Below are 14,834 nucleotides of genomic sequence, written 5' to 3'. Positions count from 1 at the left end.
GCGCAGCCCGGGGGGCTGTTATTCAAATCCCTCTTCCTCCTCCAGCCAGGGCCCTGCAGGCCTATGAGGCCAAGTCCTCCTCTCTCCCTCCAGCCCCTGGCAGCATGGAATCTGATGAATCAAAGTGGCTGCCACCTGGAACAGTCAGAGAACATGCCAAGCGCCATTAAGAAACTTTTATTTTAAAATAAATTTGTGCAACACAGGTGAGAGGAAGCCCTGCCTCTTCCTAGGGCTTCCAGGAGCCTAGCTGCCTGGAGCACTGGGGGCCCCTGTCGCCCATTTCCACACCTTCCGCAAGTCAACCCTGGTCCAGATTCCAGAGACATATTTCACAGTCAGTTTCTAACTGTCTGGAACAAAATGATCGAATGACCCTTTATCAGTGTGATTTTGGGCACACACGTGCGGACTTCCCTATGAGAAATAAATCAAGATCCTTAATGAACAAAGACCTGCGTGATTGCCAAAGCAATGAATTAGTTTGTGCACTACCTGCGGGATCACAAAAGTAGAGTAGTTACAATTAATGGATTTAATTTTAAATGTAAGGGCCTCCATACTGAAGTGCTAAAGCAGTCCATCTTGGCATTCTTATTACTCTTTAATGATAATTGATGTACCTGGGAGGGATGTCAGCTGCGTCCAGTTTTACACAGGTGTGAGGCCCCTCCCAGCTCCCCATTCCTGCTAGCGATCGCCAATGATCGGCAACATGGATTTGATGAAATCCAAATTTATTAGGGTTATTAAAAGTCGTTAATTATTTGGCACCATCTAGATTTCATTTGCTTCATCCTTAATGAAAATTGACAGCTTTATATTTTTAGGTGTAAAAAGTGGTATCTCTTTTTAAAGGCTTCCTGTCCTACTCGCAGGGCCACAGCCTCCGCCATCTTTCCCTCATTCCTGCCTCCAACCTTAACTCCCCTCTTCCCCCACTCCTCCCAGTATTGATTTGTAGCCTGTCCCCTTTCAAACAGACTTGTCGTTTGTCTTCCCTGTTGCTCCCTTTCATGGTCCCCGTGGAAACTCCCCGACCAAACCCAAGGACAATGGTTTCAGTCCAGACGTGGCCTCCGAGGGCGTGACTCCAATTTCCCATGGAAGGACAGACAGCGAGGACCCAGAGCCCCCACATCCTGGGAGGAGCAGTTCCCCTCCTGCCTGGTGTCATGGGCTGGGGCGGTGAGCAGTGGGAAAAACGAAGCCTTCTGTGAAGCCACTTCTGTAAATGAGAGGCTGGCCGAGCCATCTGTCCTCCGCTCCCTGGCCGAGTGTGGCAAGCGCGGGTGCAAACATTGTCAGGGGAGCCCTGATTGCAAGTCATCCCCAACACGTGACTCAGGCCAGGAACCCTCCTCCTAGAGGCCAAGGCCACCAGCTGTGGCTCTGTGCTAACATCTAGTTTTCCTCCAAAGCAGAAAGGTTGGTATGGTGGAGGAACACGCAATAAAGGCTGTAATTTCCCACCTGTGGCTGTGTCTCAGGCAGATACCGACTTTCGCATGCCAAGTGGGGACCCCGTTATTCATTCAAGCTAATTCCTGCCCTCTAAACATGTTCCTAATTAAAACAAAGGTGACTACACTCCCTAAACTTCTAACATTCTGATTTGGAAAGAGGACTTGTGATTACAGATGTTAAACATGGATAGCATGTCACACCACAGCCAGGCATTTTCTACCACAATTAGAAGTCCAAGCAGGGCCTGGACTTTTAGTTTTTGTACTAAAAATACAAAAACTAGCTGGGTGTGGTGGTGCGCCTGTAGTCCCAGCTACTCAGGAGGCTGAGGCATGCGAACTCCTTGAACCCAGGAGGCGGAGGTTGCAGTGATCAGAGATCGCGCCACTGCACTCCAGCCTGGGCAATAGAGTGAGACTGTTTCAAAAGAAAGAAAAAAAACCACAAAGTTTATTTTATTTTCATAAGAATGTAATGTAGTCCCCTCACCAAGGATGCCTACCTTGAAACTTCCAGAGAGAAACAGCTTCTTAATGTAATTTTCCCCAATGGAACAGCGTATTGTATGGGACGCAGGAATTCTGACCGTTAGTACTTGTCTACTCCGGATTTCCCAGGGCCACTAACCAGCCAGCCAGAGTCAACCGTGGCCATCCTGATGAGGCAGCTTGACCAGCAGTTATGGACCAGTTCTACGTGAGCAACTCTGTTTCTGCAAAGGGTGAGCGTGGCACTCTCGACCTGACACCAGGTTCTGTCATTGAGGACTCACTGGGCAGCCCTTCTGGGGATTCAGTGAATGGAATGAAATCAGGTGGAATTCATGGGACAATGCACGTCACTCCAGGACTAGAAGTTACTTACGTTAGCTTTGAAACACATTCAAGTCAGACGTCCTGTGGTGGTCTGAGCAGAAAAGTTGTGCAGATCTTCAGCCAGGAAGATCTGTGACCATCCTGTATGTAATTAGATATCTCAACGCCACACAGTCCTTCTTCATCCCGGAAAAGGCAGCCTTTCAGCGTCTCGGTTGCCAGAGTGCCGTATTCAACGATTACAACCTCATGTTTACCGGCTTTGCTAAGCAGCGGCTATAGCAGCAAAGTCGGTTGATAGAAATGAAGGAAAATGCAAAACAAGAACGCAGAAGAAGGTGGTGGCTGCCTTCCGGATATCCACGCCGAGGGCCGTGCTGTCCGTGAGCACCGCCTTGTAGTTGCCGGAGCCGTGGGTGCGCTCATCGTCAATAGCAAGCCCTACTGTATGCCAGCGCGAGCCCTTGCATGCACATTCTTCTGCGTTTAGGTATTTCTGCCACTCCAACCGAGAAAGTGAGGTGCATATGAGAAAAGCCTCTTGCTACGTAGAACCTTACGCTTCTGAAAACAATTCAACTTGGTTTGTGCAGAGTGGAGCATTTCTCCAGGTTTCACCCCAAATTCCCCACACAGGAGGCTGCTTTCTCATTAGGTGTTGGCCTCTCCCCTAGATTCTCTACTGATGTCATTAAACCAATTTCTTTTTCATATAGATTTTTGTCAAAGTAGAGTTTTTCTTCCAAAAACAAAAAAGAGAGCAGAAAGTTAGAGCAAATACTATTTCTCTACTGAGTTTCAAATATACATTTTTAAAAAGTTACAGCAACTTGAAAGACTCAAAGAGAAAGCTTCAATCTGAATTTAAAGAAACTTCCAGTTCCAAAATTTACTATAAGTAGCCAGTGGGTGAAATGCAACCTACAAATGAGTTTTACTTTTATCTGGACAGTGTCTTATTCACCTCATTTTTATTTTCAAAATGTTCAGATTTCCAGGAAATTTAAAAAATAGTACAAGGATTATCCATATATCCTGCCCCCCAATTCACTGCTAGTTAACATTATGGCACATTTGCTTTCTTCTACCTAGTCACGTGTAGCTAAATGTGTGTAGTCCTGGGGTGCAAATGTATAGACACAGGTGTAGGGGAATGTGGACCAGGGGATGCTTGTATATATGTGGGTGTGGGTGTGTGAGCGTGTATATATGTAGGGGTGGGCATGTGGGCGTGTGTATAGGTAGATGTGCACATGTGGGTGTGTATATACGTAGGTGTGGGAGTGTGGTGTGTATCTATATTGGGGTCAGTGTGTGGGTGTGTATCTATATAGGGGTGGGCGTGTGGTGTGTATATATGTAGGGGTGGGTGTGTGGGTGTGTATCTGTGCAGGGGTGGGTGTGTGGTGTGTATATATGTAGGGGTGGGTGTGTGGGTGTGTATCTGTGCAGGGGTGGGTGTGTGGTGTGTATATATGTAGGTGTGGCTGTGTGGTGTGTATATACATAGGGGTGGGCGTGTGGGTGTGTATATATGTAGGGGTGGGCGTGTGGTGTGTATATATGTAGGGGTGGGTGTGTGGTATGTATCTATATAGGGGAGTGTGTGGTGTGCATCTATGTAGAAGTGGGTATGTGTGTGTGTATATACGTAGGGGTGGACGTGTGGCTGTGTATATATGTAGGGGTGGGTGTGTGGCCTGTATCTATATAGGGGTGGGTGTGTGGTGTATATATATGTAGGGGTGGGTGTGTGGTGTGTATTTAGTCCATTCTCACATTGCTATAAAGAACTACCTGAGGCTGGGCGCAGTGGCTCACACCTATAATCCCAGCACTTTGGGAGGCTGAGGTGGGCAGATCACCTGAGGTCAGGAGTTTGAGACCAGCCTGACCAACATGGTGAAACCCCATCTCCACTAAAAATACAAAATGAGTCAGGCATGGCAGTGCATGCCTGTAATCCCAGCTACTAGGGAGGCTGAGGCAGGAGAATGGCTTGAACCTGGGAGGCAGAGGTTGCAGTAAGCTGAGGTCATGCCATTGCACTCAAGCCTGGGCAACTAGAGCAAAACTCCATCTCAAGGGGAAAAAAAAAAAGAAAAAAAGAACTACTTGAGACTGGGTAATTTATAAAGAAACGAAGTTTAATTGACTCACAGTTCTGCAGGCTGTACAGGACGGGAGGAGAGGCCTCAGGAAACTTACAATCATGCTGGAAGGTGAAGGGGAACAATGCACATCTTACATGGCCAGAGAAGGAGGAAGAGAAGAAAGGGGGAGTAAGGGAGAGGTGATACATACTTTTTTTTTTTTTGGATGGACTTTTGGCTCTGTTGCCCAGGCTGGAGTGCAATGGCATGATCTCGGCTCACTGCAACCTCCACCTCCTGGGTTCAAGTGATTCTTGTGCCTCAGCCTCCTGAATAGCTGGGATTACAGGCGCTTGCACCATGTCTGGCTAATTTTTGTATTTTTAGTAGAGATGAGGTTTCACCACATTGGCCAGGCTGGTCTCGAACTCTTGACCTCAGATGATCCACCCTCCTCAGCCTCCCAAAGTGCTGGGATTACAAGTGCAAGCCACCGCTACACACTTTTAAACAACCAGATCTCATGAGGACTCACTCAGTATCATGAGAACAGCAAGGGGGAAATCTGCCCACGTGATTCAATCACCTCCCACCAGGTCCCATCTCCAACATTGGGGATTATGATTCAACATGAGATTTCAGTAGAGACACAATCCAAACCATATCATTCTGCCACTGACCCCTCTCAAATCTCATGTCCTCACATTTCAAAATATAACCATGCCTTCCCAATAGTCCTCCAAAGTCTTAACTCATTCCAGCATTAACTCAAAAGTCCAAAGTCTCTTCTGAGACAAGGCAAGTTCCTTCTACCTATAATACTGTGAAATCAAAACCAGTTAGTTACTTCCAAGATACAGTGGGGATACAGACATTGGCTAAATACTCCCATTCCAAAGGGAAGAAATTGGTCAAAACAAAGGGGCTATAGGCCCCATGCAAGTCCAAAACCCAGCAGGGTAGTCATTAAGTCTCAAAGCTTTAAAATAATCTCCTTTGCCTCCATGTCTCACATCCAGGCAACATTGATGCAAGGGGTGGGCTCCCAAGGCCTTGGGCAACTCTGCCCCTGTGGCTCTGCAGGGTACAGCCCCCACGGCTGCTCCCAGTGGCTGGTATTGACTGCCTACTGTTTTTCCAGGTACATGGTACAAGCTGTCAGTGGATCTACCATTCTGGGGTCTGGAGGACAGTGGTCCTCTTCTCACCGCTACACTAAGCAGTACCTCAGTGGCGACTCTGTACAGGGGCTCCAACCCCACATTTCCCTCCCACATTGCCCTAGTAGAGGTTCTCCATGAGGGCTCTGCCCCTGCAGTGGACTTCTGCTTGGACATTCAGGCCTTTTCATACAACCTCTGAAATTTAGGTGGAGGCTCCCAAGCCTCAACTCTTGCCCTCTGGGAACCCACAGGCTTAACACCATGTGGAAGCCATCATAGCTTGTGGCTTGCACCCTCTGAGCAGCAGCCTGAGACATCTGTGGGTCTCTTTTAGCCACAGCTGGAGCTGGAGTTTTTGGGACACAGGGAGCAGTGTCCCAAGGTTGTGCAAGGCAGTGGGGCCCTGGGCCTGGTCTGTGAAACCATTCTTCCCTCCTAAGACTCCAAGCCTGTGATGGGAGGGGCTGCTGAGAAGGTCTCTGAAATGCCTTCTGGGAATTTTCCCTATTGTCTTGGCTATTAACATTTGGCTTCCCTTTACTTATGCAAATTTCTGTAGCTGGCTTGAATTCCTCCCCAGAAAATGGGTTTTTCCTTTCTACCACATGGTCAGGCTGAAAATTTTCTAAATTATTATGCTGTACTTCCCTTTTAAATATAAGTTCCAGGGCAGGCATGGTGGCTCATACCTGTAATCCCAACACTTTGAGAGGCCAAGGCCAGTGGATCACTTGAGGTTAGGAGTTTGAGCCCAACTTGGCCAACATGGCGAAACCTTGTCTCTACTAAAAATACAAAAATTATCTGGGTGTAGTGACACACACCTATAGTCCCAGCTACTTGGGAGGCTGAGGCAGGAGGATCGCTTGAACCCAGGAGGCAGAGGCTACAATGAGCTGAGGTTGCACCACTGCACTCCAGCCTGGGAGACAAGGTGAGACTCTGACTCGAAAAATATATAAATAACATAAGTTCCAGTTTTAGGTCATCTCATCGCTCATGCATATGACCATATGCTGTTAGAAGCAGCCAGGCTACATCTTGAATGTTTTGCTGCTTAGAATTTTTTTTTTTTTTTTTTTTTTTTTTTTGAGACAGAGTCTTGCTCTGTTACCCAGGCTGTAGTGCAGTGGTGCAATCTTGGCTCACTGCAACCTCTGTCTCCCGGGTTCAAGTGATTCTTATGCCTCAGCCTCCTGGGTAGCTGGGATTACAGGTGCCCGCCACCACGCCTGGCTAATTTTTGTATTTTTAGTAGAGATGGGGTTTCACCATGTTGGACAGGCTGGTTTCGAGCTCCTGACCTCAGGTGATCCACCCCCCTTGGCCTTCCGAACTGCTGGGATTATGGGAGTGAACCACCATACCCGGCCAGGTACTTAGAAATTTCTTCTGCCAGATACTCTAAATCATCACTCTCAAGTTCAAAGTTCCACAGATCCCTAGAGCAGGGGCACAATGCCTCCCATCTCTTTGCTAAAGCATAGCAGGACTGATGTTTACTTCAATTCCCAATGAGTTCCCGATCTTCATCTGAGACCTCCTCAGCCTGGACTTCATTGTCCAGGTCACTATCAGCATTTTGGTCACAGCAATTTAATAAGTCTCTAGGAAGTTCCAAACTTTCCTTCATCTTCCTGTCTTCTTCTAAGTCCTCCAAACTGTTTCAACCTCTGCCCATTACTCAGTTCCAAAGTCACTTCCACACTTTCAGGTATCTTTATAGCAATGCCCCACTTCTTGGTACCAATTTTCTATATTAGTTCATTCTAGCATTGCTATAAATAACTACCTGAGACTGGGTAATTTATTTTAAAAAGAGGTTTCATTGAGTCACAGTTCCACAGGCTGTACAGGAAGCATGGCTGGGGAGGCCTCAGGAAATTTACAATCATGGCAGAAGGGGAAGGAGGCACATCTTACCTGGCAGAAGAAGGAATAGAGGAAAGGAAGAGGCGCTACACACTCTTAAACAACCAGATCTCATGAGAACTCACTCATTATCACAACAGCAGCAAGGGAGAAATCTGCCCCCATGATCCAATCACCTCCATCTGGCCCCTCCTCCAACATTGGGGATTACAATTTGGCATGAGATTTGGGAAGGGACACAGATTCAAACCATATCAGTGGATTTGTATATGTGTAGGGGTGAGTGTGTGGATGAGTACATACATGTAGGTTCAGGTGTGGCAGTGTGGACACATATATATGTAGGTATGGCTGTGTGTTTGCCCTTTTTTTTTTCTTTTGCTGAACCATTTGAAAGTCAATGCCAAACATCAAGACTGCTCACCTGTAAACCCTTGGCCAGCAGGTATCTCCTAAAACTAGGGCATTCTCCTGCATCCCTTCAATCACACTGTCACACCAAAGACAACAGGCATTTCCACAATATCACACAATGTGCCACCATCCACATTCACATTTTCCCAATTCTCCCTACACATCATTTAAGGTTGACTTTACATTTTTTCAATTTTTAAATTTTTTTATTTTTCTGAGATGGAGTTTTGCTCTTGTTGCCCAGGCTGGAGTACAATGGCACAATCTCGGCTCACTGCAACCTTTGCATCTTGGGTTCAAGTGATTCTCCTGCCTCAGCCTCCTAAGTAGCTGGGATTACAGGTGTGTGCCATGACGCCTGGCTAATTTTTGTATTTTTAGTAGAGGCAGGGTTTCACCATGTTGGCCAGGCTGCTTTTCAACTCCTGACCTCAGGTGATTTGCTCGCCTCAGCCTCCCAAAGTGCTGGGATTACAGGCATGAGCCACCACGCCCTGCCGGTTGACTTCTTAATATGTCAAGATCCACTCATGATTCGTACTTTGCACTTGGGGGTCCCTCCGGTGTCTCTTACAGGCCAGAGGCCCAGTGTGTTGGGAGTCCAGGCTGTGCCTCCAGCTACCTCCCAATGGGATGCCTGTGATGGGTGCAACTGAGGTGAAGCTGACACTGAAGATCATCTTTTTGCGTGGGCAAGGGGTTGATGTGCTCTCTCTCCCTCCCATCCTGCTCTCTTGGAGCCAGCCCACTTTCCTCTTCACATTCCCTGCCTGGACCCCTGGAATCGGATTCAGGGAGGGCTGGAGTCCACAGTCAAGTCGTCTGGCCTGGGAAGCAGTGCCTTAGAGGCCTGGAGGTGACCCTCATCATGCAGTGACCTGGCCAAACCCATTCCACCAAGCTGACCCCTCTAGGGGGCTGCAAGGTAGTATCGGGGCTCCAGGCGTCCCAGCTCCACACTTGCAGGTTCCCAGAAGAGAAAGCCATGAATTCCAGCAGAACTCCCAGAAACATGGAAATAGCACAACTCTACCTAACGTATCCATAATGCAACATTTTATCAACATGTTTGCATATACTGTCTAATTTTCAAAAACAGCCCTCTGAGGTAAGCAACATTGTCCTCATTTTGCTAACGGGACACCCTCAGGGAGATGAGCGTGAATTTTCAGAAACAGACAGTGACCGGCACTCGGGTGGTGAGAACCTGGGTGTTTGGACATTGGACAATGTTCACTTAACAACCTCCTGAGACCGCCCAGATGCAGACAGGAGGAAGATCATTCTAGCTCTTTCTGGTTGGCCTTAGAGCTGAAGGAGTAAGCGGTCACTTGGCATGGCTGGTGGCGGCTCATGTCACATAGCAGAGCTTTCCCTCCATGGAAGCAGATCTCATCTAACGTTGAAAGCGCACCCACACTCTCAGGAGACCGCTGGGGTTTACAGATGATGTGTATATTTAAAAGCGTTACTTGGCCACCATTTTGTGTTAGCAAGGTCGATGGACCTATTGATGTGCTTATGCTTATTTTGACACTTATGTTAGTCAAATTTCATTAAAATATGTCAGCTAACTTTTTTTTTTTTTGAGACAGGGTCTCACTCTGTTGCCCAGGCTGGAGTGCAGTGATGCAATTATGGCTCACTGCAGCCTCGACCTCCCAGGCTCAGGTGATCCTCCCACCTCAGCCTCCAGGGTAGCTGGGACTACAGGTATGCACCACCATGCCCAACTAATTTTTTTTTTTAATATGAAGTATTGTTTTATTGCCCAGGCCAGAGTACAGTGGCACAATCTCAGCTCATTGCAACCTCTGCCTCCCAGGCTCAAGTGATTCTCCTGCCTCAGGCTCCTGAGTAGCTGAGACTACAGGCACAAGCCACCATGCCTGGCTAATTTTTTTGTATTTTTAGTAGAGACAGAGTTTCACCATGTTGGCCAGGCTGGTCTTGAACTCCTGACCTCAGGTGATCCACCCATCTCAGCCTCCCAAAGTGTTAGGATTACAGACATGAGCCACTGTGTCCAGCCCCAACTAATTTTTTGTATTTTGTAGTTGAGATGGGGGTTTTGCCATGTTGCCCAGGCTGGTCTTGAACTCCTGAGTCAAGCAATCCTCCTGCCTCAGCCTCCCAAGGTGCTGGGATTGATTACAGGTGTGAGTCACTGTTCCTGGCTTATGTCAACTAATTCAAAAGGAATCAGACAGAGAAATTCTAAATGGCTGAGTAACCTGCTTAAATAATGCAGCTTCTTCTTCATGGTTGGCCCTGGTGGGTATAAGTTGACGAAGGAACTGCCCCTGCCTGGAGGGGCTCATGTTCCAGTCCCACGGCAGCCTGTGGACGGTGCCCGTGGAGCAGTGTGACACGAGAGGCCACAGTGATGCGGAGAGGGGCCAGGGCTGCCCATCAGCGGCTCCCGGGCATCAAGGGGACAGCTGTGGGACTTCTTCAAGAGGACTTGATTCACAAGCAGCCCTGAGAGGTGACATTTTAGTTATGTGTTGTACCTCATCAGGAAAGACAGAGGACGCAATAGAGGGCTGAAGGCATGGGAGTAGACCTGCCTCACAATTTCACCCCGAGCCTGTCCTGCAAAAGCAAAAATCCAAGCATGTGTTTATTTTTTACCAAAAGCAGGTATATTCCTGAACAAGGCTATGTTTATTTTAAAAAATTTATTTTTATTTTTATTTTTTTTGAGACAGAGTCTTGCTCTGTCGCCCAGGCTGGAGTCCAGTGGCACCATCTCAGCTCACTGCAAGCTCCGCCTCCCGGGTTCATGCCATTCTCCTGCCTCAGCCTCCTGAGCAGCTGGGATTATAGGGACAGGTCACCACACCCAGATAATTTTTGTATTTCAGTAGAGACGGGGTTTTTTCATGTTGGCCAGGCTGGTCTTGAACTCCTGACCTCAGTGATCTGCCCGTCTCAGCCTCCCAAAGTGCTGGGATTACAGGTGTGAGCCACTGTGCCTGGCCAAGCCTATGTTTAGAAGGGAGTACCAGAGCGATTCCCAAAGCTTCCCCGACTATAAAAATGTTAACCAGTGAAGCCATCTGGGGTCAGGCTGAAGGCATTTATCTAAAGACACACGGCCATTGCTCAAGGAGAACATGGGCTGTGTAAACGTGAAGGTGTAACAGGAGGAAACCAGGTGTTAAAAACTGCAGGAGACACAGTCACCACTCACTCCGTGTTCTGCCTGGCCAATGAAGAAAGGAGAAAAGAACACTTTCCCAGTGGTTTAGCCATAAATTTTGTGATAAATAGGACACCTATTAAATTAACTATATGTGATATTAAAGTGATTAGGTTTGCAGGAAAAAAAAAATCATCAGCCGAAAGTCACTGCAGCCCGGCAGTGGCCCAGTTTCCACCTGATGTCTGGGCAAGGCTGGCGCTCTCTGGCAGACCGGCTTCCAGGCACTCCTGTGATTCTCAATTAGGTAGAAAGTTTAGGAGCAACACGAATTATGGGAGGAGAGTAGCTTCATCAGTCATTTCCCGCAGGGACAGTGGCAATTTGAAGAGCTTTAGCACTTTGAAGGTCAAGACTAAAAACCAAGTAATTTATTACCACTGATTTAGGGATTAACATTGTGCCAATTAATCAATTACTTGATGTGAAGAATTGACAATTAATTGACATTTCAGTTCCAATCTGGCAAAGCTGTTTGATTTCCATAGTGAATAATATGAGATCTCTACATTGAAAGGTTATGAGGGTTTCTTCCGAGCTCAAAATGAAAAAGAAATTTAAAAGATACTAAGAAAAAGCATTCACAAAATACAGATATGGGAAATACAGGCCCCGGTTGTGTTTTCACTAGCGAGCAAATCAATCTCACTGCTCAGTAGAGCTGAAGCGTTGTAAAAGTGAGGACCTTTTCTTATTGGCAACGTATGGGTGGGTGTTTGCCCCGCTAGATTCTTTAGTCGGTTCTCTCTGCAGGGGGTCATGAGTTTAAAAACCCCTTATTGCCAAGAGCTTTGAAGATGAAATCTCTGTAGCATTCAAAGCCCTCCTCTACAAGGACACCTGGTCTGCAAACCGGGGGTTTTCTCGGGGTTCACAGGCCAGTGTTCAGATCCCCCGCCTCTGGAGCTCGGGCGCTGTGCACGGGAGTCAGGGCCAAGCCTCAGGTCAGCACAACCGCGTCCTAACTGTCCGGCCGGGGTAAGATCGCGCCTGCGAGGACGGGAAGCCGCCGCGGGCCTGGGAGGAGGAAGCCCGAGCGCCCAGCCGGGCCACACGCGCGGGCAAGAGCCGGGAGCTGAAAACACAAGGACGCCTGGAGTCCCCGCAGACAGGCAGAGCGCGCCCGGGAAGCCACGCGAGGAAGGGAGGGCAGGGGATAGCTTCGGATTTAGGGGAGCCCTCTGCTCTCTGCACCTCGTGGGTTCGCTTCCCGTCCCTGCCCCCAAGCTTGCCTGACAAGGACTCTCTGACTTCGGTGTCCCCAACCTCAGCGTGGGCTGGGCCTCTCCCTCCCCAGCGTCTCCTGCTGCGCTTGCTCTTGTTCCACCAGAAGAAAGGAGGCACCCAGGACACTGAAGACGGCCGGGGGCGGAGACTGGCGGGCCTCGCATCTCCCTCTAAGGAAAGGAGTGAAAACCAGTCAGGCTTTGGCCCCGGACACTGGGATTCTGGAACCACACTGGCAAAGGCACTGGGCTTCCCAGAACCCAGCCAGGCAAAGGGACCAGCAACTCAACGCAGGGAACATTGGGTTCTCGATAAAAAATAGCTGGAAAATACAATGACAAAAGACAATTCTAAAACGGGTGGGAGGCCAGGTGCAGTGGCTCACACCTGTAATCCCAGCCCTTGGGAGGCCGAGGTGGGAGGATTGCTTGAGCCCAGGAGTTCCAGACTAGCCTGGGCAATGTAGTGAGAACCCATCTCTACAAAATATTAAAAAATTAGCCAGGCATGGTGATGCGTGCCTGTAGTTCCAGCTACTCGGGAGGCTGAGGCTGAGGCAGGAGGATCACTTGAGTCCAGGAGTTCAAGCCTTCAGTGAGCCATTTTTGCACCACTGCACTCCAGCCTGGGTGACAAAGTGAGACTCTGTCTCTCAAAAAATAAAATAATAAAATAAAACGTGTGTGGGAGTTACTAGTGACTCTTCTATTCTCACAGTGCTCATATGAGACCACCAATGAGTCCCGTCGTATGAGTCCAACACCCTCTTTTCTTCCCAAGGTACTCTTTTTTTTTTTTTTCCAGGCTCACTCATTTCCTTGGCTTAGGAAAAATAAAAAAAAGCCAGTGAAGTTCCTGTAGTGAGGATTTGGGGAAGGAAGGGAGACACAGGAAGGCTACAGAGTGTGTTCCTTGTCAGGCGGCCGCGCTCTGGCCATCAGGACACGCACTGCTGCCCTCCGGGACTGTTGTCTTACCCTCGGCCCACTCAGGCCACAGGCTCTGCCTCTGATGAGCCACTGTCTGCTGGAGGCAGAAGTGAGGGCTGGGGCCCCCCTTATCAACACGGTCAGGACTGGAAGCCACGGCCAAGGTGGGAACACAGGAATGAGAAGGAGAGAGGCTCCTCGTCCTGGTGAAGGCCAGGGCTGCAGAGGTCAGAGTCGTTGCCCAAACAGCTCAGCATGAGGGTGACAGGACAGGAGTTGAGGAGGCATGAGAGTCAAGCGTAGGCCAGAAGAAGGAATGGAGAGGATGCTGGCTCTGGCCAGAGCAGACCATGGCCAACACTCGGTCCTCCCCAGGCTTATAGAGGGACCACTGCACTGGTCCAGCCCCATGCTCGCTCCTGAGATCCTGTACCCGTGAGGACTGCAACCCCCTGCAAGTAACAGAAAGCTTTCCCAACAGTGGCTTCAGCACCTGCAGCCCCTTCGTATCACATTACAAGAAGTTCTGATGTTGGCAACCCATGGCAGGTGCAGCAGCTCAAAAATACAGCCAGGGACTCACACCCTTTCTGTCTGTCTGCTCCGTCCTCCCTGGTGAAGGTGCTTCCAGCCTCATGGATGTCACTTGGTGGTTCCAAGGAGCAGGCTGGGCTGGGGGCGGTGGCTCACACCTGTAACCCCAGCACTTTGGGAGGCTGAGGCAGGAAGATTGCCTGAGCCCAGGAGTTCAAGACCCGCCTAGGCAACATAGCAAGATCCTGTCTCAACAAAACATTTTAAAATGTAGCCGGGTGTGGTGGTGCGAGCCTGCAGTCCCAGCTACTAGGGAGGCTGAGGTGGGAGGATCACTTGAGCATGAGAGAGCAAGGCTGCAGTGAGCTTGGATCGTGCCACTGCACTCCAGACTGGGCAACAGAGTGAGACTCTGCCTCAAAAAACAAAGATGCAGGCTGGCTGCCTATCCAGGAGTTACACCTGCCCTGGTTCCAGACAGAGAAAAGAAGGGAAGGGAAGGAAGGGGAGGAAGGAGTGCGCTCTGTGTCAGGCTAGCAGAACCTTCCCAGACATCGCACCTCTACTTCTATTCATGTCTCGCTGGTCAGAGCTGTGCCACATGGTCACTTGAACTGTCCCAGACATCCTGCCCATACCTCACCTCACATCCCATCGGTCAGAATGGTGAGACATGGCCCCCACAGCTGCAAAGAGTCTTTGGCAGGTTGGCGTTTTAGTCAGGCATATTTCCCCTCCTCCAAAATTAGAGTTCTTTTAGTAAGGAAGTGCTTAGGCCTCAGGTGCAACGTGTAGGACTATAATTTCAGACACTGGTGCTAGGGAATCTGGTAAAAGCTGGGGTGGAAGGTGGGGAGGGCCGATTCCATAGAGGAGAGGGGCAGACACGCAGGTGTCCCCATGGGCTTTGCTGCTCAGGGCAGGAAAGACCTCAGTCATGCCCACGACACACTGTGACCTGGAAATCGTAAGTCCCCACAGGGACGCTCAGCTCCTAGACCAAATTGTTCTTTAAGCAAATTACAGAGAGAGGCCAATTGTATCATTTCTCTTAATTAACAAACCAATTTCTTTCAGAGGCTGAGAGTCCAAAAATGAAATCTGTCATCCCAAGT

At 49.0% G+C, this 14,834-nt stretch overlaps 1 pseudogene, besides 2 other annotated features; it reads left to right on the top strand.

Moving 5' to 3' along the window:
* On the top strand, window positions 2,151-2,420 carry LOC645272 (adenosylmethionine decarboxylase 1 pseudogene; annotated as a pseudogene).
* Window positions 11,555-12,111: an enhancer, noted in NCBI's record as "H3K4me1 hESC enhancer chr7:156871111-156871667 (GRCh37/hg19 assembly coordinates)". NCBI's record gives its function as "activates a minimal SCP1, AML or CMV promoter by ChIP-STARR-seq in naive H9 embryonic stem cells {active_cell/tissue: H9 hESC(naive)}" and the evidence as "EXISTENCE:reporter gene assay evidence [ECO:0000049][PMID:30033119]".
* Window positions 12,112-12,669: an enhancer, noted in NCBI's record as "H3K4me1 hESC enhancer chr7:156870553-156871110 (GRCh37/hg19 assembly coordinates)". NCBI's record gives its function as "activates a minimal SCP1, AML or CMV promoter by ChIP-STARR-seq in naive H9 embryonic stem cells {active_cell/tissue: H9 hESC(naive)}" and the evidence as "EXISTENCE:reporter gene assay evidence [ECO:0000049][PMID:30033119]".

This window comes from Homo sapiens, chromosome 7, assembly GCF_000001405.40.
Source record: "Homo sapiens chromosome 7, GRCh38.p14 Primary Assembly".
Classification (NCBI taxonomy): domain Eukaryota; kingdom Metazoa; phylum Chordata; class Mammalia; order Primates; family Hominidae; genus Homo; species Homo sapiens.
This window is presented reverse-complemented; position numbering and strand designations above follow the sequence as displayed.